At 50.3% G+C, this 26,921-nt stretch overlaps 1 protein-coding gene across 6 annotated transcripts in view, besides 5 other annotated features; it reads right to left on the reverse strand.

Moving 5' to 3' along the window:
* The window catches only part of PREX1 (phosphatidylinositol-3,4,5-trisphosphate dependent Rac exchange factor 1), a 263,934-nt gene that overhangs the window by 47,042 nt on the left and 189,971 nt on the right, over positions 1-26,921 (reverse strand). For 4 of the 6 annotated variants that reach the window (XM_047440333.1, NM_020820.4, XM_047440332.1 and 1 more), the window contains 7 exons: positions 21,379-21,497; positions 19,654-19,803; positions 17,364-17,511; positions 9,942-10,042; positions 8,358-8,461; positions 8,067-8,116; positions 4,900-4,975 (listed from right to left, as the gene is read on the reverse strand). In XM_047440333.1, the coding sequence (XP_047296289.1) occupies positions 4,900-4,975; positions 8,067-8,116; positions 8,358-8,461; positions 9,942-10,042; positions 17,364-17,511; positions 19,654-19,803; positions 21,379-21,497 (748 nt within the window). Of the gene's footprint in view, positions 1-4,899; positions 4,976-8,066; positions 8,117-8,357; positions 8,462-9,941; positions 10,043-17,363; positions 17,534-19,653; positions 19,804-21,378; positions 21,498-26,921 lie in introns of those variants that run through there. The other 2 variants (XM_011528934.2, XM_047440334.1) reach the window with 2 other exon arrangements.
* Positions 8,457-8,626: a silencer, noted in NCBI's record as "silent region_12984". NCBI's record gives its function as "represses an Ori minimal core promoter by ATAC-STARR-seq in GM12878 lymphoblastoid cells {active_cell/tissue: GM12878}" and the evidence as "EXISTENCE:reporter gene assay evidence [ECO:0000049][PMID:35858748]".
* Positions 11,736-12,485: an enhancer, noted in NCBI's record as "H3K27ac-H3K4me1 hESC enhancer chr20:47299567-47300316 (GRCh37/hg19 assembly coordinates)". NCBI's record gives its function as "activates a minimal SCP1, AML or CMV promoter by ChIP-STARR-seq in naive H9 embryonic stem cells {active_cell/tissue: H9 hESC(naive)}" and the evidence as "EXISTENCE:reporter gene assay evidence [ECO:0000049][PMID:30033119]".
* Positions 22,788-23,288: an enhancer, noted in NCBI's record as "H3K27ac hESC enhancer chr20:47310619-47311119 (GRCh37/hg19 assembly coordinates)". NCBI's record gives its function as "activates a minimal SCP1, AML or CMV promoter by ChIP-STARR-seq in primed H9 embryonic stem cells {active_cell/tissue: H9 hESC(primed)}" and the evidence as "EXISTENCE:reporter gene assay evidence [ECO:0000049][PMID:30033119]".
* Positions 23,447-23,616: an enhancer, noted in NCBI's record as "experimental_60598 CRE fragment used in MPRA reporter constructs". NCBI's record gives its function as "activates a minimal promoter by MPRAs in K562 erythroleukemia cells, with activity observed for the non-introgressed 20:47311363 variant allele {active_cell/tissue: K562}" and the evidence as "EXISTENCE:reporter gene assay evidence [ECO:0000049][PMID:34662402]".
* Positions 26,601-26,770: an enhancer, noted in NCBI's record as "experimental_60600 CRE fragment used in MPRA reporter constructs". NCBI's record gives its function as "activates a minimal promoter by MPRAs in K562 erythroleukemia cells, with activity observed for both the introgressed and non-introgressed 20:47314517 variant alleles {active_cell/tissue: K562}" and the evidence as "EXISTENCE:reporter gene assay evidence [ECO:0000049][PMID:34662402]".

Below are 26,921 nucleotides of genomic sequence, written 5' to 3' on the forward strand. Positions count from 1 at the left end.
CCATAGTTCTGTGCAGATGTGATGTCTGGAGCCATGGCTGCCACACTGTGACTATGAGGCAACTCATAAGAAGATACCAGGATAGCAGAACAGAAAGGCAGGAGATGCCTGGGTACAGACGGCATTGTTGAGCTCTAGGACCACAAACTCCAGACAATAAATTATGTGAGAGAAGAATATCGTATTAATAAGTCAGGTTTCCTGTTATGTGCAGCCAAACGCATGTGTAACTGATCCAGCAGGGATTTAATCAACATTTTATTTTAAGGGGTAAAATAACCTAGAGTTAGAAATGAAGACGTGTCCAAAAAATACCCTCCCGCCCTACACAATTATGTGTTCTTCCCACTTTCCTGCTAAGATGCAAGGTGGGGGTGACTCCTGAAATCAAGACGGGCTGTAACCACACTCCGAGGTCACATCCTTGTCACAGATCTCTCCCGCACAGAAAGACCCACGCGGGCACACCCTCCTCCCCTTTCCCTGACCCAAGCCGAAGGCCAGTTGCCTTTCCAACCATCTCCTGGAAGTCATCCTCCTGCGTCAGCTCCAGTTACCCACCCTGTGTCCCCACACCAGGCCAAGCCACAGATAGGCTGCTGAAGTGGATGGACACATTGCATGGTCGGCTACAGCCTTTGCTCGACATCCTCCCCGTCTCCACTTGCAACAAGATGCGGGTGCCTGGGGTTGGGGGGCTCAGGACAGAGTGACAGTGACGCAAGCTACTCCAAGGGGCCTCTGGCCGAGCCCACAACTCCTCGGCCAGCACTGGCCACGAGAAAGCCCCCCGCATGCCCAGCACCAGCCACCAACACTGGAAGTGGCTTTTACTGGTTCCTCCTCCTCCAGTCTCTAAATGCTGGAGTGTTCCAGGGTGAAGGCCTGAGCCTCCCGCACACCTGCCTCTTTCATAGCATCCCAGCTCAGTCAATGGCAGCTCAAGCCAAAGGCTTTGGAGTCATTCTCTGCTCCTTTCTGTCTCTCACCTGCAACGCCCTACTCACCCATGAGCAACCTATTAGGTCCACCTTCAAAACATCCAGAATCTGACCATTTCTCCTGCCACCCCCACCACCCTGTTCTCAGCCAGCATCCTCCCCTGCTGGAATTCTAGCGTTGCCTCCTACTGCCCTCCCTGCTGCCAGCATCATCCCTAAAGTCTCCACACAGAGCCAGGGGACCTGTCTGAACTGAAGCCACACACACTGCTCCTGTACTCCGAGCCGGGCAGGGGTCTGGGCCCTTCCAGGAGTGGACACAGCCTGGCATGGTGCGCCCACGCGGCTTCCTCGCCACTCCTCTCCCCTCTCACTCCATTCAGCCACCCTGGCCCCCTCTCTGCTCCCCAGACATACCTGGCTCGCTCTGCCTAAGAGCCTCTGAGCTGCTGCTCCCCAGATGTGGCCTGGGCTCACTCCCCACTTCCCTCAGCCCTCTGCTCAAATGTCCCTCCTCAGTATGGCCGTCCCTGACCCCCTGTGTAAACTGCACCACCCCGCCCATGTGAGGGGGAGATCCCCTGCCCCCGCTCCCACACCGTTCCCTCCACCACATTGCACCTAGCACCAGCGGGCATGTGATGTATTCCTCTTATTCTTATTTATTAAGTGTCTCTCCTATCCTCACCAGAACGTAATATCTGGGAGAACAGGAGCTTTTGTCTGTCTTGTTCCCTGCTGTGTCTCTAGAACCAAAAACAGCCCCTGATACACGGCAGGTGCTCAAAAATAATTAAAAAAAAAAAAGTTAGCTAATGAGCTCGCTTGTCTAACTTCCCTACACTCTCTTCTAACCTGTGTCAAATGTTACCCAAAAGCTGACAAGGAGCGGACTCTGCAGTGGGGGCTGCCTGAGGTCTGGGTGTGTGTGTAAAGCCCACCCTCTCCCCTGCCCATCCGCTGGAAAGCCCCATGGCATCTTGCGTGCCCAAGGAGAAAGTCATTTTCCCCATACATTCTTGCCCATCTTCCCATCTCCACAAATGGTATTTCCATCGGCCTAATGCACCCAAATCTCAGGGCTCATCCTTGATTCCCAGCCATTCCCACAGCAGTGCAACCCGTCTCTTCTATCTCCAAATACCTCTCAGACCCGACGTCCTGTTGTCTCCGTGAGCCAACCCACCCTGAGTTAGGCATGGGATTCACCCTGGGAGCAATGCCTCCCCTATGCTTTGACACCAACAGGCAGCTCTGAGCACTGAAGGAGCTTGGGAAATATGAGGCCCCAGAAACGTCCACAGCAGTAAGAAGTGGGCAGCTCTGAGAGCCTTGAAACCCAGGCTCCTCTGGGCTCTGACTGAAGCACCTAAACCACAAAAGAAACTCCCACATGGCACCCCTGTCACCTATTTGTAGCAAATTCAGAAGGCGGGACTCTGTGCAGATTGCTAACCCCCCCACCTCTGTTTGTTTCCTGGTCTTACTGGTCTCGTGGTCCCCAAACCCTTGCACAATTTCTTTAGTCTTCTATATTGCATGTAATCTTGGGCCACCTTGAATCTTTTGTGAAAGAGATGAGGAATCATAGTAATAGTTAACGTTTATTGAGCAATTACTCTATGTCAGGCACCATTCTAAGCACTTTACACAATTATCTCATCAAAACCTCAAAACAATCTAAAGGAGAAGGTATTGGTTTTAGCTTCATTCTACAACTGAGGCCCGGACAGGCTGAGCAACTTGTCCAAGGTCACTAACCTAGGAAGTAGCAAGGCTGGGACTTGAACCCACGTCTGTCTGGCTATAAAAGCATGAGTTCTGGGCTGACTGCATGTGATTCTCACGAGGGCTGGGGAGTGTGGTACAATGGTTAGCAGCTCTGCCCTTCACAGACATGCAAATTGGAATTCAAATCCAGATATTTCAAGACCTCCCAGGACATAGGGTCCCATATCATAGCAAACATATTAAAATGCACCCATATTTCACATTTGATATCTCTTTGGGCTAGATAACTTATTTTCAAGGATGTTTCTCAACTTTCTTTTGAAGTTATTTGGTGCTGAAAAACATTCACTTTAAAAATTGGCTGTGATTTATCAGCACGTATCAGGAATTTGTGCAACATGAGAAAATCCAGGCAGCAAATTGTTTTCAAATGAAGTTTTTATGAATGTTTAACAATTAATGAGGCCAACATAAAGCTGCACTCTGTAGATGTTTAAACATTTATCCATTTTTATTTCACAGGTTTCTTCTCATCTTTGGGAGCCAATGTGTTCTTTTTACAAACCATGAATAGATATTCTTGAGGACTCGCTGAAAAATTCACAGAACCGAGGCACAGTGGGTGAGTCCCAGCTTTGCTACTATGAAGCTGTGCACCCTTGGACCAGGCACTCAGCCTCTCTGGGCCCACTTCCCCATCTGCAAGTAGGTTAGAGGACTCAAAAGGATAACACACAATGCCTGCTGGGGCCTTATCCAGAGTAAGCATCCATAATCCTGAGCAATAAAGGAGAAGAGACAGGCAACAGGCCTGTATGTGGCACCTGAATGGAGCAAACACCTTCGGGATATTGCACCAAAACTGATGCATAGATTTTCTAAGCTTCTGGTCAACCCCTACCCACTGGGAACTTTTTTGAAAGTAGTAACTTGGCCAACTCCAAACAGAGGCTGCAGTTTGGTACCAGAATAAAACCATCTTGTCCTAGTTTGCCCAAGACCATCCCAGTTTTAAAACTGAAAGAAAGCCCTAGTGTGGAAGCAACCCCTGGGTCTACTGAGGAATGAATGGATAAACAAAATGTGGTACAGACATACTGCTACGGTTTGAATGCTTTTGTCCCTTCCAAAATTCTTGTTGAAATGTGATCCCCAATGCAACAGTATTGAGAGGTATGGCCATCAGGAGGGGACTGAGTCAGGAGGGCATTAGGCATCCCTTAGAAATGGGTGTGACGCAGGGAGTCTGCCCCTCCCATCCCTTTCCCCATGAGAGGACACAGCAGCAAGGCAGCATCTTGGAAACAGACGGCAGCCTTCGACAGACACCGAACCTGCCGGCACCTTGGTCTGGAACTCCCAACCTCCGGAACTGTGAGAAGTTTCTGTTCTTTATAAATTACCCAGTCTCAGGTATTTTGTTATAGCAGCACAAATAGACTAACACACAATCAATGGAATATTATTCAACCTTAAAAAGGAAGGAGATTCCAACATACGCTACAACATGGATGAGGCTTTAGGATGGATGCTCAGTAAAATGAGCCAGGCACAAAAGGACAAATACTGCACAATTCCACTGCTATGAGGTAACTAGAGTAGTCAAGTTCATAGAGACAGAAAGTAGAATGGTGCTCATCGGGACTGGAGGAGGGGGAGTGGAGAGTTGAATGGGAACAGAACTTCAGTTTGGGAAGATTAGAAGGTCTGTGGTTGGGTAGTGGTGACGGTTGCACAACATTATCAATGAATTTAATCCTAATGAACTATCCACTTAAAAATTATCAAGATGGCCGGGCGTGGTGGCTCACACCTGTAATCCCAGTGATTTGGGAGGCCGAGGCGGGCAGATCACAAGGTCAGGAGTTCGAGACCAGCCTGGCCAACACAGTGAAACCCCGACTCTACTAAAATTACAAAAATCAGCTGGGTGTGGTGGCGTGCGCCTGTAATACCAGCTACTTGGGAGGCTGAGGCAGGAGAATTGCTTGAACCTGGGAGGCGGAGGTTGCAGTGAGCTAAGACTGCACTACTGCACTCCAGTCTGGGTGCCAGAGCAAGACTCTGTCTCAAGAAAAAAAAAAAAAAGATCAAGATGGTAAATTTTATGTTCTGTGCAGTTTGCCACAATTAAAAGCAATAAGAAAAAATCTTTAAACAAAACAGAAAGCCCCACACTGACGGACAAAGCAGAACACTGGTCACACACCCCTGAGGAGGCCCTCACCTGAGCCAGCAGCCAGTCCACCAGCTTGCTCCCGGGAAGCACTGACTTGTAGGTCTTCAGGTGGTAATCACGGTCTCTGTGGAGAAGGTGAGCGCACAGTGAGCAGGGCAGGGCGGGGAGGACAGAGGTGGGGGTGGTCCTGACTTCCCTGCAGGACGTGCCCACGAGTCAAGGATCTCCAGGCTCTCTAGGCATTGGGCAGGGGTCCGAGTCTCAGCCCAGACTCCACACATCACTTGCAGTGTGACCGAGGGCAGGGCTGTTCCAAACCAGGCCTCCTTCCACCTACAGAGTGGGAGGCAGGAGGCAGCAGCTCCAGGGCTCTGGAAACTTTCTGTCTCTAGCCCAGGAGATCTCAGCTGGGGGTGATTTTGCCCTCAGGGTATGTCTGGAGACATTTTTGGCTGTCAAGACCTGGAGGGGCTAGGGCAGGGGTGCTGCTGGCATCCCGTGTGTAGAGGCCGGGGATGCTGCTGAAGATCCTACAATGCCAGGCAGCCCCCAACAGAGACTCATCCTGGCTACGATGCCACCGGCGCCGAGGCTGGGGAGCCATGTTGACTCTCACAGAGTGGCAGGGGAGACCCTCCATTCTTTCCTTTCCTTTTTCCTTTTTGTTTTGTGGTTGACATTGATGTATTTAAACCAAACCATTGTGGAAAGCCCCTGCAAGGGGCTGGTGTGGTCTATCAGGGCCGAGCAGCACAGAGGCCTGTGAGTTTCACGGTTCTTTCCTGAGGTAACTGCCCTGGCCTGTGACAGCATCTGAATCCCTGCCGAGCCTGGATCCCATGGGTTCCGCTAACCTTGCAGCCGAACTGCAACAACTTCTCAGCCTCTGAAGCTGTGACAAAAACGCGCTTCTGTGGCCAGTCCATGCCAAGGCTGATAAAGTCTAGTTGGAGGATTTCTCTCAGGCTTTAGGACTGGGGGGGTCTGACAGGCTCCACGTGCAGTTGGTGGGGGTCTGCTACCTTCCCCAGCCGCTTCCTTCTTTGAGGCTGGCCAAGGAGCCCCACCTGCCTTCTGGGGCTTGCACAAGAGCAGCAGCAGAGGAGCCCAGGAGGGCGGAGGCAGGATGGCAGATGAAAGTGGTTCCCAGGGCCTGACATCCCACGGGGCCAGCAAATGCTAGGAAATGGTCCTTCCTCTCCACTCTTCCGAGAGGTGATAAGAGCTATCAGGTCAGAGGACAGAAAAATCTGCAGCTGGGATAAGAATCAGGTCACCCTCTCTCCCTTCATCCACAACTGTGAGCTTTGTGGTAAAAAGAATAACCAATCTCTGGCGTTCATTATACAATGCCAGGAGCCATTCAAAGCACCTTCCGTGAATTTAATCCTCATGGCAACCCAAGAGGTGAGAGCTATTCTTATGTCCACTTAACAGATGCAGAAACAGAAGCAAAAGAAGTTAATCATCTTTCAACATTCACTGACAAGCTTTTACTGAGTCCCTAGGCCTCTGCTCTCCAATAGGTAGCCATTTTAATTTAAATTTCAATCAATAAGGCCAGGCACGGTGGCTCACACCTGTAATCCCAGCACTCTGGGAGGCTGAGGCAGGCAGATCACTTGAGATCAGGAGTTTTGAGACCAGCCTGGCCAACATGGTGAAACCCCATCTCTACTAACAATATAGAAATTACCCAGGCATGGTGGTGCATGCCTGTAATCCCAGCTACTCGGGAGGCTGATGCAGGAGAATCGCTTGAATCCAGGAGGCAGAGGTTGCAGTGAGCCGAGATCATGCCAATGCACTCCAGCCTGGGCAACAGACCGAGACTCCGTCTCAAAAAAAGAAAAAAAAGAAAAAGAAAAAACCAAACATATAAAAAAAGGCCAGGTGCAGTGGTTCACGCCTGTAATTCCAGCACTTTGGGAGGCCAAGGCAGGCAGATCACTTGAAGTCAGGAGTTCGAGCCCAGCCTGGCCAACATGGTGAAACCCCACTTCTACTAAAAATACAAAAATTAGCCGGGCCTGGTGGTAGGCACCTGTAATGCCAGCCACTCAGGCAACTGAGGCATGAGAATCACTTGAACCCGGCGGAGGTTGCAGTAAGCCAAGATTGCGCCACTGCACTCCAACTTGGGGGACAGAACGAGGCTCTGTCTCAAAAAAAAAAAATTAGCTAGGCATGGTGGTGCACGCCTGTAGTCCCAGCTACCTAGGAGGCTCAGGTGGGAGGACTGCCTGAGCCTGGAGGTTGAGACTGCAGTGAGCTGTGATTGCACCACTGCAATCCAGCCTGGGTAACGGAGCAAGACCCTGTCTCAAAAAAAAAAAAGAAGAAGAAAATTAAAATGAACAAAGGGAGCTGATATCGTTGGGTTGTGTCCCCACCCAAATCTCATCTTGAATGGCAGCTCTCATAATTCCCACATACTGTGGGAGGGACCCAGTGGGAAACTACTGAATCGTGGGGCAGTTCCCCCATACTGTTCTTGTGGTAGTGAATAAGTCTCACAAGATCTGATGGTTTCATAAGAGGAAACTCCTTTCACTTGGCTGTCATTTTCCTTTTGCCTGCCAGGTAAGACGTGCCTTTCACATACCTCCACGATTGAGAGGCCTCCCCAGCCATGTGGGACTGTGAATCCATTAAACCTCCTTTTCTTTATAAATTACCCAGTCTTGGCTATGTCTTTATCAGGAGCATGAAAACAGACTAATACAGAGGACAGAAAGTACCAGGTTGGTGACACTTTATGCAGGTAGGCAGGGAAGACCCCTGTGATATGGAGGCGTTTGAAGGAAGTGAGGGAACGAATATGAAGGTATGCAGAGGAAAGGCATCCTAAGCAAAGGGAACAGCAGGCACAAAGGCCCTAAGGTGGAGCCCATTATTATCCCCATTTCACAGAGGAAACGGTTGAGGCACAGAGAGGTTAAGTAACTCTGCCCAAGGTCACACAGCTGCTAACTAGGAGGGAGGTTCAAGCTCAGTCTGTCTGGCTCCAGAACTGACACCTGCATCACTACACTGCAGTGCTTCCCACAATTTAATTCAGTTAATCCTAATGACAAATCTAAAGGATAGGTGCCACTGCAAGCCCCATTTAATGGAGAAGGAGACTGGAGCTCAGAGAGGTTAAGTTGCCAGCCCAAGGCCACACAGCTGAGAAGAGGTAGAGGTGAAATTGGAGCTTGGAAAGAGTAACTTACTTGATCACCGGGGTGTAGAGGCTGTGAAGACGGCAGTAAAGCCTCACACCCTGAAAGAAAAAAGGGGAGGAATTCTGGGATCAGGCCACATCCTTCACGAGCCTCCAAATCCAGGCTGATGGGAGAGATGGCTTCCAGGACGGGGCAGGGCAGGGTAATGGGGGCAGGGGTGAGTTGTGGGCAGTGGAGAAGGCAAACAAGCCAAGGGGCACAGGCCTGCTCTGAGGCGAACCCAGGGTGGAGGTGAACGAGGCCAGCTGAGTCAGAGTCACAGGGGCGGAGGGCCCCTACCTTGGACATGATGTCCTCCAGCTCACTTCGGGCCTTGTAGGTGCCATCGTCGTAGCGGAAGCGATACATCACCTGCTCATTCTTGAACTGGTGCTTGTCGGAAACTGGAGAGACAGGAGGACCTGTGACGCTGGGCACGCCCCCTCAGCCCCTCCCAGCCACGCCCCCCAGCATTGGCCTTCACTGCCAGCCACGCCCCCTCTGCCCCTCCCAGTCACACCCACCAGCATCAGGCTTCACTGCTGGCCAGGCTTTTTTTTCACTGAAACCCCACGAGGTGGGTGCTATGACTTCCCCATTTTGCACATGAGGATACCCCATCCTCCTGCTACGTGCAGGACCCTGCTGAGACTCGCAGCTTGGGGTGGGGCATCTACAGGGGTGAGGGACCCAGAAATGCCCCTGATCCAGCCTGCACTGGGACCCCTCTGGCTCAGCATGTCCTTAGATCTAGATCACCAATGGATGGGTGGGGACAAGCATGCTGGGGCCTGAGACCACATTGCTGAGATTTACGGAGCCATCTCTATCCCACAAAGTCATGCTTGATGCTTCAGATCCATTAGCAATGCCTATAAGGCCCTAACCTTCAAGATACCAATCACCTCACTCCTACACTGGCCCGAACCACCTTCGCCTCCCACCTGGACTATCACAGCAGCCTCTTTGCTGGGCTCCCTGCTGTCACCCTTGGTCCCAACAGTCTCCACAGGGCAGCCAGAGGGATTCTGCCAGCGTGTTCGTCCAAGCAGGTCTTTCCTCTACGCAGAGCTCAGCAACAGCTTCATAGCTCACTCAGAGTAAAAGCCAAAGACCCTACAATTCTCTATAGGATCTCATCTCACCTCCTGGACTCTCCCATCAGCCCTGTGCCCTCTGACCTCGTCTCCTACCACGCCCCCTCCTCACTCTGAGGCAGCCACACTCCCTCCCTGCTATTCCCTGCACAACCCACTTAGACTCTGCCTGAGGACTTTGCACTGGCTGTTCCCTCTGCCTGGAACCATCATGCCCACCTGGGTCCCTCCCTCACTGGTGGCTCAGGTCCTGGTTCCAATGTTACCTTCTCGGTGAGGCCTTCCCCATCTCCCCTATTCAAAAGTGAACGCCAACACCACACTCTTTACCCTCCTTCCCTAGCACCTATCATGTTTTACTATCTTGCTTTGTAAAGATAAGCAAGTAAAGATCTTATCGTCCCCTCCAACTACAAGGTCGGCTCCATGACGACAGGCACGTCCTCCTCCCGTTCATTGTGGTGTGAACAGTGCCTGCCACATTATAGGCACTCAATAAATATTTGCTGAATAACTAAAACTTAACCAAATGGTTCTTGACATTTCTTGAAGGGACAGATAAAAGATTCTACTCCCCTGCCCCCAGGTTTTTGAGGTATCCCTGATTTGCTGGTGCCTAAGAGGCAGTTTTACAAGGGCATCCATGTTCCTGCGGGCCACACTGTGCCCAGAAAACACGGCGGCTGCACGAAAGGATAGGAGCTGCCTGAGCTAGTGGAAGCATGGCACAGTTGGGGTCTGACCTGTTCCCACCCCTTGGCCCAGCTGGGCCCAGCCCTCCACTCACCATGGTGGATGATGCCATTCTCCAACAGGGCTTGGCCCAAGTTGACTCCTTCTTCCGTCTTGCTGATTTCACCAATTTCTAGGAGCCAGGCAACGAACTCACTGCCAGGAACACAATATGTGGTTGAGAGGATTTCCCCAATTCTGGGACCACAGGAATCAGCACTAAGCTGGCCTGGCCACATCCACCCCTGGGAATGACAGCTAGAACTTCCCACAGGGAAGCCGAGTGTAGTAGTCTATAGCCCTTGGGGTTGTACTGAGGCTTCATGCTTATTACCAATAGCAGAGAGGAGAGTGTGACCAGATTCCAGGTCTGCCTCAGGCTCACTGGATGGATGCATGGATGGATGGAAGGAAGGAAGGAAGGGAGAGAGGGAGGGAGGGAGAGAGGGAAGGAGGGAAGGAAGCTGGGCAGGCAGGTTGGTGGATGAGTGACTACATAGATGGATGGATGGATGGATGGATGGACGGACGGATGGATGTCCGGCCAGACAGACAGCCAGCAGCACATGGGCAGGTAGGTAAGTGGGTAAGTGGATGAATGAACAGACAGATGACTTAATATGGGGTGGATGAAGAAGAGAGTGAGTAGATGGGTGGATGGGTCAGGGATGGATCACAGATGGCTAGATGGAGTGGTGGCTGGACAGATGAACAGAAGGAATGGACAAACATGCAGGAAGAAATAATAGGGGGCCAGAAAGATGATGGCGGGGAGTCAGGCGAGCTAACAGTGATGAAACCATGTCATTTCCATATTCAAAACCCTCCCACAGGCTTACTACTCACAAAAAAAATCCCAACTCTTCCCACACGGACATAAACAAGGCCCAGCATGACCCACTCCCACCCTGACTGATCTCACCCCCAATACCTCTCATTAGTTATGCCTAAGCCACACCTACCACCTTTCCCTTATTAAAAAATACCAGACTCCTCCCTGCCTCGGGGCTGCTGCACTTGCTGTTCCTTCTGCCTGGAATGCCCTTCCTCAGCTCTTCATGCAACTGTGCCTTCTCATCCTTCAGGTCTCAGCACAAACATCACCTCCTCAGAGAAGCCTTCCCTGACTACCTCATTTAAAATGGTCCCCGACCCCTATCCAATCCATCACATCTCTGTGTTGCTTCCTTTTTTGCACTTTTCACTGTCTGAAGTGGTCTTGTTTACAGATTTATTTTACGTATTTATTGGCCATCTCCCCCAACCAGAATGTAATGACATGAACAGGGTGTTTTCTCTGTCTTATTCATGGCACTATCCCAGCACCTACCAGAGGGCCTGATGCAGAGCAGGGCTCAATGATCATTTATGGAACAAATGAAGTAATGAACCATCCGACAGAAAGGAATGTTCTGAGGTCGGCAGGAAGGTCTCGGGGAGACAGAAGTGCTCCCAGGCCAGAGGAAGACAGGCAGCTTTCCCAGCTCCCACGTGACTGCCCGGTGGTGAGAGGCTCAGCCGGGGCCCCAGGTCCTAGTTCTTGCGGGTGCTTCTCAGGCTCAGCCCAGAGCTCAACCCACTCAAACTCAGCAGGAAAAGGGAGAGCCTGGAATGGGGCTGTTTCCGCCGAGGCAATCTGTGTTCAATGAAAGCAGGTGGCAGCTGGCCAGAGCCTGAGCACCCTGCTTATCGAAACCAGCTGTCCCGCCTCCAATTACAGGGCCAGAGGGGGGCAGGGCTATTTTTAGCTTCCTAGTGTTTGGCAGAGCAAAGACCTGCCTGGTGTGTAGGTAGCGGTGCGTGCTGGAGCATTCAGAATGCCCTGGCTGGAGGCAGAGTGGGCTGCAGAAGAAATGCATCTGCTTTGTGGGACAGGCGCCCCAGGTGGGGAAGGGATTGTTCTGGGTCCTGTCCACCCCCAGTTCCATTCTCAAAGTCTTGGAACTCAGGGACAGGGAGAATGCTGCCAGCAGCTGAAGGAGGGGAACAGATGTTTGAGTGCCCACTCTCGGAAGCCCACCAGCTGTCTAATTGGGGGCCGCCTCTGGCACTGATCAGCAACTCTCTGGCCAGGGTTAGGGGACAGGAAGTATCCCACAGCAGCTGCTGGGGCAGAAGAAGACGGCCCAGAGGACAGCAACTCTGCCCTACGTTTCTGCCCAAACTGGGTCTTGCCATCTTCTGGTGGATCAAGGAGGGTTCACAGCTTGCTGGGCAAAGCTGGGCGGGTCCCTGTGCCTCTCTGGGCCTCATCAGGGCCCACCTGGGAAGTGGCTCACTCAGTCACCTTCTGGATTTAGCAGGCAAAATTTCTAGTCATATGAAATCCTGAGCTGGGATGCAGTATGCAAAAACCCAATAAAATTCATCTCTAGTGCAGGGGTCTCAAACTTGTAAATAGGCAAAACAGGCCAGGAGGAGACTGTGCAGAACCAGCCGGGGCCTGCCGTGTCTAAAGCTGGCAGCCACTCTTCAGTGTAGCCCATCATGGCCCATTATGTTAGAAGACGAACGCATCTAACAGCTTCTCGGGAGAGTGAGGAAATCCAGCATTTCCTGTGAAATCTCCCCATCATTAAATGTTCATATCGAGTCCAACATTTTCTGAAAGCACTACGTGGGCCGAGGAAAACATGTCTGCTAACTCTATCAGGTCAGTGGGGCACTGCTAGCCACCTCTGGGGTACAGGGGAGAGTGTTCTGGGCAAGGGGATCAGCGCACACAGAAGCCCTGAGAGGTAAGGTCAGGAAACCAGCGATCTGCCAGTGGGGAGGGGCGCTGGCATGCAAAGGGCAGCTAGGTCCAAGCTCCCAGAAAGACACAGCTCAGGACAGTGTGAGGAGAGCTGGAGATACAAGGAGAAGGCAATCTAGCTTGATGGGCAGTCTGAGAGTCAGGGATGGCATGGTGAGCTGAGAGTTAGGATGTGTCAGCTTTCATCCCTCCTTCCTTCCCGCCTCCTAGAATCATTCACCCACTAAACATCTATTTAGCCTACAATGGGCCACGGCCAGGGTGAGGCACAAGGAATACATTCTGCAGTCTTCCTAAGAAAGCCGCCTGAGCTCAGGCCCAAGGTACCACTTATGACCCAACACAAGAATCCCTTGTTCTTGCCTGATTCCTCCATGGGCCGTGGGCTCCAAGAGGGTAGGGACTGGGGGGTACCCAGTGGAATACCCATCCCTGTGACTCCACGGCTCAGGGATGCCTCCTGGAGATGACAATGTTGGACAAATCCTTACCGACCCTCTCGTGCACACTAACACCCTGCACCTGTGCGTACAGGTGGCCAAGACACCAAGGCCCCTTCCACCTTGGAGCTTTCCCTCTGGCAGACGTCCATAACTGAACAGCATCTAATCTCTGCCAAGGGTGAAACCCAAGGCCTTCGTCCAGGAAGCTTTTCCTGACGGCCCCTGCCAGACACGCCGCGTCATACCTGGTAACCCTGAGCTCCGACAGCTCCACCAATGCCCTCGATCTGGATCCTCATCTCACTCCACTACCGAGACTCCTCCAGTGGCTTCCCACAGCACCAAGACGGAAATGTGAGCTGCCTGCCAAGGCCCTGCCTGAGGTGACCCACTTTAACTGCTGAGGCCACATCTCCTGCCCCTCTGACCACTCAGGCTCCAGCCACAATGGCCTCCTCCTGTTCCACCATCACTCAAAGCTCACTGCAGCCTCAGGGCTTTCGCGCCTACTGCTTCCTAAGCCAGGAATGCTGTTCCCCACACCCTCTCATGGCTGGCTCTTGCTTGTCTTTCAGATCGTGGTTAAATGTCACTTCCCCTGAGAGGTCCTGACTGCCCACTCTTCTGAACCAGCCCCATTTCCTCTTGTCCTGACTTCACGCTAAGTATTTCCTTAGCGCATTCATCAAGTTGCTGAAATTCCCTTCTTTCTATCTGTCTCCTCTTCTGTTGTCTGATTTCCCCCACTGGATGCTTACCTCTATGAGGGCAGGGACTTCATCTGTCCTATTCCCGACTGGCACATAGCAGGGACTCGGTAACACTGAGTGGGTGAATGAATGAGTGAATCTGTTTTGTCTCCCCTACTAATCTGACGATGCCAGAGGGCACAGGCCATGCTCCTCCCAGGACACCCTCCACATTAATACACACAGATTTTATTCTTTGCTTTTTAAATGTGGCATCTAAGAGATTTTTCTCTGAGTAGGGCAGAAAGAGGCCCCTCCTTCATACACTCATCATGCACAGCCAGTACGATTCCCACGAGTCTCACCAGCACTGTGCTGCACACGTCACGTGTTCTCTCACTGTATCCTCCGACAGTCCTCAGAGGCACATTTTATTATCTCCCTTTAACTGATCGTTCACTGAGGTTCAGAGAGGTTAAGAAACTTCCCCAATGTCACACAGCTAGAAAGTGAGGGAACCAAGACTTGAGTCCAAGTCTAACTCAAAGCCAACCCTTGGGGGTGATAAAGACAAATCAGGCCAGGTGCAGTGGCTCACGCCTGTAATCCCAGCACCTTGGGAAGCCAAGGCGAGAGCATTTGCAAGACCCCCATCTGTACAAAAAAAAATAAAAATTAGCTATAGAAGCCTAGCACAGTGGCACACACCTGTAGTCTCAGCTACTCAGGAGGCAGGAAGATCGCTTGAGCCCAGGAGTTTGAGGCTACAGTGAGTTATGATCACACCACTGTACTCCAGCCTGGGCAACAGAGCGAGACCCTGTCTCTAAAAACCAAAAGATAAATCAGACACTTTTTATATTCATGCAGTTCCCTAACAGTGGAGACAGATGTAGAGAGAGGAACTGCTAGGGAAAAATAAAATGTGCTGAGTAGAAATAAAAATGAATAGACAGGCAAAGTACAGTGGGAGACAGCACCAGTGTCGCTTTGTGATCTTGTACAGAACCCTTCCCCTCTCTGTGCCTCGGTTTCCTCACTTTTAAAATGGGGGTAGTGGCAGTGACTGTTTCACGGTGTTGTGTGGGGATTAAAAGACATGGCTGAATGCCAGCACATGCAGCAAAGGGCTTGATCAATATCTCGGAGGCTACCAAGTCCTTCTACCCTGGAGGACCAGGGACGCATCTTGGACAAGAAGATTCAGTAGCGGGACCCTGGCGGGGGTAGCAGGATCACACACCCTACGGCTGTGTGCAGAGCAAAGCCGTGCAGGGAGAAGAGTTTATCAGAATAATCTCCTGCAGAAAGGCTGGCCCTTTCGGACCTGCAGTTACAAAACAAGCTGCTATCTTGGCCCCATTTCAAATGGGCAGTAAAAGAAATCTCTCTAATCCTTCCTGAGGAGGCAGAACTCCTCGAAGTTCTGATCACAGACAGGCTGCCTCATCGGTCCGGACTGAGCAGTTTGGCAGGAGATGGGAAGGTTCTCTGGCCCCAGGGGGCCCGGAAGCAGGCCCCTCCTGAGAGAAAAACCTCCTTTCCTGTGGGATTAGGAGTTGGCTGAAAAGGCCAGCCAGGCTGCCCCGCCCCGCCTGCCCCAGCCAGCAGGACTCCAAGGCCCAAACTCTCCTCTCCATGGAAGCTCAGAGCTGGAGTTCCTGATCTTTGAGGAAAATAGGGCACCAAGGCCCTTGAGGGCAACAGGGCAATAGAGTCCATGGCGCCCTGCAGGTTTGAACCCTTCTACTTGCTGCCCCTCCACCACAAGCCTCAGGCCATGAGTGCCAGCTGTCCCCAAGTCCACACTAAGCCTCCGTGGCCTGCCCAACATCCATACTGCACCCTGAATGTCTATCAGCATTTCAGCCTCCACCGGGCTCCTGCTCCTTCCCAGGGACCTGCTCCTGCCTCCCCGCCTCTTCCTCCCCTTGGCTTCCGGAGGAGTGCCACCTTCTCGCCAGCAGCTCCACTCAGAGGTCTCTGCCCCCTCCTCCTTCCAATGCCATCATCGGGCCCCAGGGCCCAGGCCTGCCTCTTCTATCCCTTCAGGTTCCCCTGCACAGTTCAGGCCGTCTCATGGCTTTAAAGACCATTTAACACCATCTCCCATGTGTAGGTCCCCAATGCAGACCTTTCTCCCCAAGTCAAGATTTTGCAACCAACCAACAAGCCCACATCTCCATGTGGGTGTCTACCAGCCTGACATAACCCGTCCACAACTGCACTCGTGGGCTTCCCACGGCCCCCTGCAGCCTGCTCCTCCCGCCATCTTCTTCTCCTTCTCAAAGGAGCAACTGCAGCTTTCCAGCGCCTTAAAGTCCTGAACTCCCTTTACTTTTCCACCCCATCAGCAAATGCTGTTGCCTTTCAAGTTATCCAGAACACAGCCACTGCTCCCTGTCTCCACAATGACCATCCTGGCTCAAGCCTGGCCCACACAACCTCTCACCTGGTCCACAGCACTGTGATAAAGTGGCAGCTTTTACCCTAGGCCTCTGCAAAGGCTTTAGGGAAGTTGGGGGGAGTTTAAGTCCTTACATTCTAAATAAAGTTCCCGCATTGCCGGCAAACCTCTCTCCCCAGCTGCACCACAAGCTTCATGAGGTTGCAAGCCCTTGGCACTGTCCTCTCCGGAGTGTCTAGCACATTGTAGGGCCTTAAAACAGCCTGACCATTTTACAAGGACTGGATTTCTTCTACCTCTCCCGTGCCCCAGCCCTCTCCCTCAGGTGACCTGCGTGTAAGAGCCAGCCTGTCACACCTGTGTTCTGACCCCTTTGAACTCCAGTTATAAAATGGGGCTGTATTTCCCAAACAGAGAAAGTGGAGGCTCTGGGCACTGAGAAGTTTATAGAAGCTTCCCTCGCCCCTCACATGTAACTCAGGAAGAGACGCCTCACCAGATACTCTCCCTGCCAACACCCTGACCTAGGACTGCCAGCCTCCAGAACTGTGAAGCAATACATTTCTGTTGTTTAAGCCACACCAGTTTTGTGCACTTTGTTATGGCAGCCCCAGCCAAAAAAAAAATGGGGTGGGGGTGGGGGGCCTACCTTTATTCTTCCAGCCCTTAAAACACCTTTGTAATCAATTACCTGTGTTCAATACCTCTCTGCTTGAAATGCCTAGAGTGGCTTCTCTTTTCCCAAGTGCTACAGCAGCATTTTTCAAACCGTTAGTGCTTTGTGAAACAATGTCATGGGTCTTGCCAGCATTAATTTTGAAATGAATGAAGAAGCAACTTGAATAGAATAGAAAGAACAGAAGAGAACAGAAACAGATATTTTCAGAGTGGGATCAAGCACAGTAAGCTCTGTGAAACCTCAGCTTCAATCATATATTACATGAATGGGTGTACCAGGTCACAATGGAAAATTATGTCTGGTAGTAGGTTGAAAGACCTGATTTAGGGACCCCACTAGCCTTCTTGATCTCTGAGGGCTGCTCCATAAGGATTCAGGTCCTTTTGTCACTCTGCCCAGGATGGCTCCTGGGCAGGGCCAGGCTGCATGGGTGGATGGGGATGATCTGCCCCACCTCCAGCTGAGAGCCCAGGGACCCAGGGAGTTCAGAGTGAGGCTACTCACTTGCCAAGAAAGCACTTGGGGACAGTGCTCAGCTTTCTCCGGCGGTCCTTGATGAGGTTCACCTTCTTGTTCATCATCATGTGGTACAGCTTCTCCCCCTTCTCCGCAATCATGACGTAGGCATCACGCTCCATGCCCAGCTTCAGGCCTACACAGGGGCACGGTCAGCACTGGAGAGAGCACCAGGCCCAGGGCAGGGGGGGTAGGGGGAGACAAGGGGCAGGCCCACAGCTCCTGAAAGCTGGCCTGCCACCTGCCCCACCACCTGCCCTCCACCACCACCACGCCAGCAGCAGCTAGAGGGCACTGACTGTCGCTGCCCTAGGCACCTGCCAATGACACCTCAAAACAACCATTTTACAGATGGCAAAGTTGAGACCCAGAGAGGTTAAGTCCTGGGATGACAGGGGGTCATGCCTTCAACCCAGGAATCAAGCTCTAGTGCTATGTTCTTCATCACTTTCCTATGCTGCCTCCCCAACCTGAGGGTGGGTTTCTAGATTCACAGGTTATCAGAAAACTTGTCAGTATCTCCATTCCAGCCCAGTGATAAAAGTCTGGTCGTTCTTCCAGCCAACACTCATAGGACCTGACCCTAATCTCTGCCCACATTTTTCTGTTTTGACCCCCATCTAATTTTGACAACAGCAAATGCTTTTATAGCACCTACTACATGCCAGTACGCCACATGAGAAACCCGCAATAATAAGGTGCCATAATTATCCCCGTTTTACAGATAAAGAAACTGAGGTCCAGAGAAGTTCGGTTCTCTGCCCAAGGTTGCCCAATTGGAAGTGGTGAAACCAGAATTTAGACCCAGGAAGTTGGTTCCATATTCGTGCTCGTGACCACCCCAGCCCTGAGGTCAGGATGTGGACAACACCCAATTCTAACAACTAAGACCCACTTGGGCCACATCCCCACCCGTGATCCCATGTGCCCAACAAAGACCACAAAGATACTGATCGGCCTCACCTAGGCCACATCCCTGAACCCCATCCCAGTCCTGACCACATACTCAGCCCCGATCAATTTCAGAAGTCACAACACTGCCTAACCAGGCCCCCAGTTCAGTGGTTTATCGGGCCTAATATCATTTTAATAAATGTTGGTGCAACGTTTAGGATCAGAAAATGCCACCTAAAAATCCAGATGTCTAGTTCCTCTAGACAAATAATCCATGGATTTGGCCCCGCTGGGCCCATATTCCTGAGAGAGGATGGTGGCTTGTCTTGGGTGGAAGTAGGGAGAAGAGAGGAGAAGCGGATGGGTGTGACATATATGTGAAAGGCAGAGTTACAGGGACTTGTTGATCTATTGAATTTGGGGAGCAGGTGTTGCAGGGGAGACCAGGGGTGATACGAAGAGTTTGACTCTGAGCTGTGGGGCGAAGGGAGGAGCCACTGACTGGTATGTAGCAGTCGAGGGGAAGAGCAGGTTTGGGGCAGAAGGCCGGGGGAAATGAAGAGCTATGATTTAGACACAGCAAGTGTGAGCATCTACGACACCTCCAAGTGGCAATTTCAAGTAAGCAGGATACACATTTGGAGAAAACTGAGGCCCAGTTTCCTCCTCAGTAAAACTGGGAGGTGGGGAGGGTTTTTAGGGTTATATGTCAGATTTTGAAATGTGCTCAAATCCAAGACCTCCTGTAGCATTGCAACCCTCTACAGCAGGAACTTGGATCCCCATTTATCAGATGAGATCACTGAGGTCTGGAAAGCTGGAGTAACTTGCCCCAAAACACACCAAAGCCTCCTTTTCCCAGCCTGGTGGTCTCTGCACAAAACAGCCCGGTGCCTCCACACAGTTGTTGCACGCCCACCCCCAAGCCCACCCTCCAATTATATCCAGCCCCTGCACTTCCTCATGTGAACTGCTTCGGGGGTGCCTGTGCCCAGAGGGACTCCTGACTGAGGTTAATGGGCAGCTCCAATGGACCCTCCTCCCAGAATTAGATTCAGTGAATATCAAATAAAACCTCAGGCGGAGGGCACAGGGCTATGCGCAGGAAAGGGGAGCATCTTGAGTCCTAATGCTTAAGGGTGAAGACCTTCGGGCAAGACCCTTCTTTTGGGCCTCAGTTTCCCCATTTGTCTAGTGGGCAATCTCTGAGGTACCACCAAGTTGGAATAGTCCCAGAGCTCCCTGTCCCTTCAAATACCTGCTTCTTACAGCTCTGATCCTCCTGAAAAGGACCCTATGCCCCTTCCCTAGACACAGCCCCCACTCAGAAGAAGCCACGCATAGCTCAGGGATCCCAGGCGAGCACCCCAAAGCTGCTGCTCACTCTCGCGCTGCTCCCGCTCGCGGATGATGGCATCCAGCCACTTCTGCTTCTCCTCTGCCGTCTTGGCCATGCAGACAAACCACTTATTCTTGGCCGTGTTGTGGATCTTCCAGCCGTTGGTGACGGTATAGCCGTTGCTATGGTAATCCGCTGGTGGGGGCAGGAGGCAAAGGTGCAGCAGAGACTCAGCCGCGTGACCTTCAACACTCCCCATTGCCAAGCCCTTCCGCCCCAGCACAGGCAGGGCCCTCGCCTGGATCAGGATGGGGAGCTGGACTTCCAGCCCTTCAAACGCTCACTTCTTATCCTTTTCCAGTGGGCAAGGAAGACCTTCTGCAAACAAAGACCCCTCTCAACCACTCAATGACAGGGGGCTTCATTTTAAGACCTTGCATCTAGGCACAAACACAGCAGTGACTCATGGGGAGACACTTGCTTGGAGCCCCAAAATGCTTCCTGGGCTCCTCCCATCTCACTCGGGCACTGGAGTTACTTAAAACCTTAGTGCCAGCCTGACAAGCCAAGTCAAACGTGGGACCCTTACCCAGTGCTGGCTGGGATGGGACCTGGAAAACCTCTCAAACAGATTGGCATGATCTAGGGAAGCGAAAGCCTGAATCTGAGGAGGGCTCCACGGGCTTCATGAGACTGCCAAAGGGGACTGTGGCTCAAAACCAAGCAAGAACCCCTGCTCTGGACAAGCTCAAAAGCACACATACTAGGAGATGCTCACATGAGCCATCAGTGACTGCATGACTGTGAGTGGTGGCAACAGGCCAAACATCCATCACCCAAAGAATGGATGAAGTGTGAAATGTTCACGTGACGGAACACTCTGCAGCAATGGAAACCAACAGGCTGCAAACAGCTACATGCAGAGACATGGATGAACCCCACTAACGTGGTGTTGAGTGAAAGCAGTTTGTTTAAAAAAAAATGTAGACCATATTTTCTGGGCGGGGAGACTAGGTGTCGCTCTGTCACCCAGGCTGGAGTGCACTGGTGAAATCATGGCTCACTGCAGCATCGAACTCCTGGGCTAAGATGATCCTCCCACCTCAGCCTCCACAGTAGCTGGGACCACAGTTGCACGCCACCATGTCCAGCTAGTTTTTGTATTTTTTGTAGAGACAGGTTTTCTCCATGTTGCCCAGGCTGGTCTCAAATTCCTGGGCTCAAGCGGTCTGCCCATCTCAACCTCTCAAAGTGCTAGGATTACAGGCATGAGCCACCACACCCAGCCGACCATATTTTATGACCATTTAAGTAAAATGGTCATGACCATTATATGACCAGGTGGGCTGTATATACATGCACATATATAATTACATATATGTAAAGCCACTTAAACATATGTAATCATGTAACCACTTACATAAGGCTCAAAAATAGAAATTTTAATTAAAATGTTTAGTCATAAATGCTTAGGAGGTAAAAATGTCTTTAAAAAGCAAGAAAATGATCATCACAAAATTCAGACAGTGGTTACTTCTAGGGGGAAGAAGGCATTGCAAGGAGGAAGGATTTGGGGTGCAGTGTTTTATTTCTTAACTTGAATGCTAACCACCCAGATGTTCGCTTCATGCATCTATGCTCTGGGCACTTTTCTGTAGGTAGATTACATCTCATGATAAAAGAAAAAAATATATTTAAATGAAACAGAGAGAGTGCCAGGGAGCAGGCAGGGCTCAGGCAGGGCTCAGGCAAGGCTGGGGGAGGGGCTACCTGTCCCATCTTCCACATTCTCCACCTCCATGACTTCAGTGTTGATTCGACCCCTGAAGATGTAGAGGGAGCCGTTGATGGATTTGGTCCTCTTGGTGGACTTCTTGCTCCCGGTGACCCTGATAGACAGTGAGAAGTCAGTGTCCCCTACACGTCACCTCCCAGATGCAACTGTTTTCAACAGCGCAAAGGGGAACACAACACTGAGGGGCATCCAGGGGACAGAGAGGAGCCCCAGGTAGGGGTCAGGAGCAGGAGTGTTTGGCTGGTGCTGGGGTAACTTGAACAAGTCACTTCTCTTCCAGCCACAGCTTTCTCATCTGGAAAACAGGCTAATAGCCTTGCTGACCCCACAAAGCTACTTTTCAGCTAAAAGGAGACATGGGAGACCAACAGGAGGTAACAGAAACCCATTCTTCTTGGCTAGAAAATGAGGAAAGACCTGTTAAGTTTCTCAAAGACAGGAACTTCCTGAAATACGACCAGAATGGAAGGAGGGCTTGGAACTGGCAGTCCGTCCATCCATCCATCCATCCATCCATCCATCCATCCATCATCCACCTTCCCAGGGTTCAATCATTCACTCGAGTGAATTCTATCATTCACCCACTCCTATAGTCTAAATGTTGGTGTCCCTCCAAAATTCATGTTATATCCTAACCCCCAAGGTAATGGTATTAGGAGGTAGGGCCTTTGAGAGATGAAGAAGTCAGGGGGAAAAGGACCTCATGAATGAGATTAGGCCCTTATAAAAGAGGCCCCAGAGAGCTGGCTCGCCTCTTCCACCACGGGAGGACACAGCAAGACGGCACCATCTATGAAGCAGAAAGCAGGCCCTCGCCAGCACCGAGTCTACTAGCACCTTTCATCTTGGAGTCCACAGCCTCCAGAACTGTACAAAATACATTTCTGTTGTTTACTTATTTTATTTTATTAATTTATTTTATTTTTTTGAGATGGAGTCTCACTCTGTCGCCCAGGCTGGAGTGCAGTGGCATGATCTCAGCTCACTGCAACCTCCGCCTGCTGGGTTACAAGCGATTCTCCTGCCTCAGCCTCCCGAGTAACTGGGACTACAGGCATGTCTCACCACGCCCAGCTAATTTTTTTATATTTTTAGTACAGACAGGGTTTCACTGTGTTAGCCAGGATGGTCTCAATCTCCTGACCTCATGATCTGCCTGCCTTGGCCTCCCAAAGTGCTGAGATTACAGGTGTGAGCCACCGTGCCGGCCTTATTTTATTTATTTATTTTTTTGAGATAGAGTCTCATTCTGTCACCCAGGCTGGAGTACAGTGGCACAATCTCATCCCACTGCAACCTCCACCTCCCAGGTTCAAGCGATTCTCCTGCCTCAGCCTCTCAAGTAGCTGGGACTACACGCATGTGCCACCATGGCCGGGTAATTTTTGTATTTTTAGTAGAGACAGGGTTTCACCATGTTGGCCAGGCTGGTCTCGAACTCCTGACCTCAAGTTATCCACCCCCCTCGGCCTCCCAAAGTCTTGGGATTACAGGTATGAGCCACCACGCCCAGCCCGAATTTCTGTTGTTTAAAAACCCCAGTTTCTGGTATTTTGTTATAGCAGCCTGAAGGGACTAAAACAGTCACTCAACAAACATCTGGCCAGAGCTTCCTATGAGGAGGATACCAAGTCAGGAGCCACGGGAAGTCACTCATCTGTGGATCCAACAAGCATGTGGAGAACGCCTACTATGTGCCAGGCACTGTTTTAGGTACTGGGGTTGCACTGCTGAACAAAACATCTCTGGGAACTCAACTTCTAACATGGGGTTGGAGGCAGGGCACAGAGACAGTCCCTAAGCAAGGTAAACCATACATCAGGTCAGAGGTACTAAACGCTCTGGTGAAGATACGGCAGAAAATGAACTCCCAGAGCTCAAAGGCCACTTGGTGGTGTGCACAGGCCTCTGCTCCAGCAGGTGGGCTGTATGCTCACCAAGAGCCAGTGGGTTTGTTCCCACGCCGACTTGGCTGATGTGTACTTGTTACTGTAAGTGGGTAAATGAAATAGGAGATAGGCTGAGGATTCAGGAACGTGGAAGAGACTTATCTCTCTGAAAATTAAGTTGTAAGTGGTGAAGATGTGGGCTTCTGCTGTGTGTGAGATGGGAGCCACGGAGGGTTGGAGCACAGGCAGAATGGGATGGACTTCAGTTTCAAGAGACTCCCTGTGTCTGCCGGTGGAGAAGGGACTAGAACCAGAGGGGAGACCACTGCAATCAACAAGATGAGAAAGGATGAGGGTGTGTATGTGTGTGTTTGTGTGTGTATACACACACATATAAACATATACATACATATGTGCATATACATATTTTTGTAAACTTTGTATTAAAGTATAAAATCCACACAGAAAAAAAATGCCCAAAGAAGCATTAATATGGCTCAATTAACTTTTGCAAGTGAACACACCTGTATCAACATGTTTAGCTCCCCACAGGCACCCCCTTATGCCCCTTTCCCATCACTGCCCTCTTCCCCTGACAAGGGTAACCACTGTCCTGAGTCTAACCCCATAGATTTGCTTTGCCTGTTTTTGAACTTTACACAAATGGAATCACAAGTGTGTACTTTTGTGTCCAGCTTCCTTCACCCAACCTCATGGCTGTGAGTTACCCGTGCTGCTGGGTATAGTGACATGGCCAGACATCTGGCTTCCTTCCAGTGTGGTGCTGCTGTGACATTCCTGCACGTGCCTGACAAAGAACATGTGTGTGCATTTCTTTGGGTTAGATACCTGAGGAGCTGAATTACTGAGTGATAAGGAATGTGAATGATTAGCTTTAGGAGATACTGCCAAGCTGTTTTCCAAAATAGTTGTACTGATTTTCCCATGCCCAACAGTGTAGGAACATTCCAGTTGTCCCACATCCTCTATAACTGGTATTTTATGTCTCATTTTGGCCATTATGGTATGTGTACAGTAGGAGCTCATTAATATTTAATTTGTAGTTCCCTGATGAGTAAATAACCTCAACCACTGTATGTTTATTGGCGATCTGGTGCCTTCTTTTGTGAAATGACTGTCCCTTGTCACTTTTTGTTGAACTGTCTGTCTTTTTCTTAATTACTTATAGCAGAGGTTGGCAATTTTTTTTCTGAAAAGGGCCAAATAGTACACATTTTCAGTTTTGTAGGCCATATGGTCTCTGTTACAAACTATTCAACTCTGCCCTTATGGCATCAAAGCAGCTAAGACTGTATACAAACAAATGGGCATAGCAGTGTTCCAATAAAACTTTATTGACAAAAATAGGCACAGGGCCAAGTCTGGCTACAGAAGGGCCTCTTCATATATTCTGGATGTGAATACTCTGGCCATTATACAAACTGTAAAGACCTTTTCACAGTCTGTGGCTTGTCTTTTCACTCTCCTTACAGTATTTTTTAATGAAATTCTTAATTACAGTATAGTCTAATGAATTTAGTTCTCCTTTATAACTATACTCTTTGTCCTGTTTAAGATATTTGCTTACTCCTAAATCATGAAGATATTCTCCCATGCTTTCTTGTAGAAGTGTTATTGTTCTACCGTTTACATTTAAATCTATAATCCAGCTGAAGTTGATTTTTGTGTTTGGTATGAGATAAGGGTCAAGAATCACTTTTTCCCCCACTGGATATCAAACTGACCAAGCACCATTTATTGTACTGCATTGGTGTTTTTGTTGAAATTCAAATGACTGCTTACATGTGGGTCTACTCCTAAACTCACTATTCGATTCCATTACTCTACGTGTCTGTTTTCATACCAATACCACACTGTCTTAATTACTACGACCTTACAGCAGGACTTGGAATCCAGTAATAACGGTCCCCTAGCTTGACCTTCTTCATAATTGTCTTAGCTATTTCTATCTCTGGATTTTCCTGTAAATTTTACAGTCAGCTGATCATTTACACACACACACATACATACATACATACATACATACATACATACACACATACACACGTACACACGTACACAAACCCCCTCCTAGAGTATTTATTGGAATTGCACTGAGGTTCTGGGCAAAGTTTGATGACAGGATGGAAAGGACTTGCTGATGTAGTTGGTATGGGGATAATGATAGCTCAAAATCAAGAAGATTCTGGCTTCGGCTCCTGGGCAAATTTCTTCTCCTGCCTCCAGACTCAAGCAGATATCAGCTCTTCCTGAGCCTGCCAATCCTAGGATCAGAACGACACTATTGGCTTGTCTTCAGCTTGCAGACGACAGATCTTGGGACTTGTCAGCCTCCATAATCACGAGTCAACTGCTTATTATAAATCTCTTTACACACACACACACACACACACACACCCTATTGGGTCTATCTGGAGAATCTTGACTTAATACAAATTTTGGTACCATTTACTGGTAATGAGGAAGATCCAAGGGGCAGAAGTTAAGACAAAAAACAAGAGCCCCTTTAGACACAATTTAAGTGTGGGCTATGTGTGAGACACCCAAATAAAGATATATGTATTTGTATTTCTTCCACTTGACCACGCACCAGGCCTTATTCTAACCACATTACATGTGTACCTTTACATGTTTTACTCTATAAAAACAACCCCATGAAATGAGGACTACTTTTATCCCCATATAACAGGTAGGAAAAGACAGGCGCAAACAGCTGACATAATTTGCTCAAGGTAGCACAGATAGTAAGCAGAGCCTCTGTGTTCTTTTTTTCTTTTCTTTTTTTTTTTTTTGAGACAGAGTCTCGCTCTGTCCCCCAGGCTGGAGTGCAGCGGTGCCACCTCAGCTCACTGCAACCTCCGCCTCCTGGGTTCAAGTGATTCTCCTGCCTCAGCCTCCCGAGTAGCTGGGATTACAAGCGTGTGCCACCACACCTGGCTAATTTTTTTATATTTTTAGTAGAGATGGGGGGGTTTCACTGTGTTAGCCAGGATGGCCTCGATCTTCTGACCTCATGATCCACCCTCCTCGGTCTCCCAAAGTGCTGGGATTACAGGCGTGAGCTACTGCGCCCGGCCCTCTGTGTTCTTAATGGCGACACACTACTGCTGCCTCTAAGATGCTAAGCAGGTAGTTGAGATGCATGAGACTTTGCTCTTCTGGGTCCTGGTTTCCCCTTCTGGAGGATGGGAGGTGGGTTTTTAAAACACTCCCTCCCGTTTTCCACTTCTGACACCCAAGGAGCCTCTGCTTTTGAATTCGCCCAGAAGCACTGTGAGTCAGAGACCTCCCCTGACCCATATCCTGGATGGGTGGTGCCCTGCATGACCCAGGCAAGGACAAACACAGTCAGCAGTCACCAAGTCACTCCAGGCATTGCCTGCACCCACATCAGACTCAGGTGGGGAGATCCACCCACCATTGCCCAATCTCCTGGGCCTCTCAGAGCTCAGCCCTCTGGCTCTCCATCCAGAGGCAGGAATGCTGGCCGCCTGCCAGCTTCTCTCAAGAGACACATGCGCCCTTTCCCTGCAGCCAGCCCAGCTCACTTGTGGAAGTGAGGTGGGGAATGGCCTTGAAAGAGCTCAGGGTGCCCACAAGGAAGGCCC

The sequence above is a fragment of the Homo sapiens genome, chromosome 20, assembly GCF_000001405.40.
Source record: "Homo sapiens chromosome 20, GRCh38.p14 Primary Assembly".
NCBI classification, from domain to species: domain Eukaryota; kingdom Metazoa; phylum Chordata; class Mammalia; order Primates; family Hominidae; genus Homo; species Homo sapiens.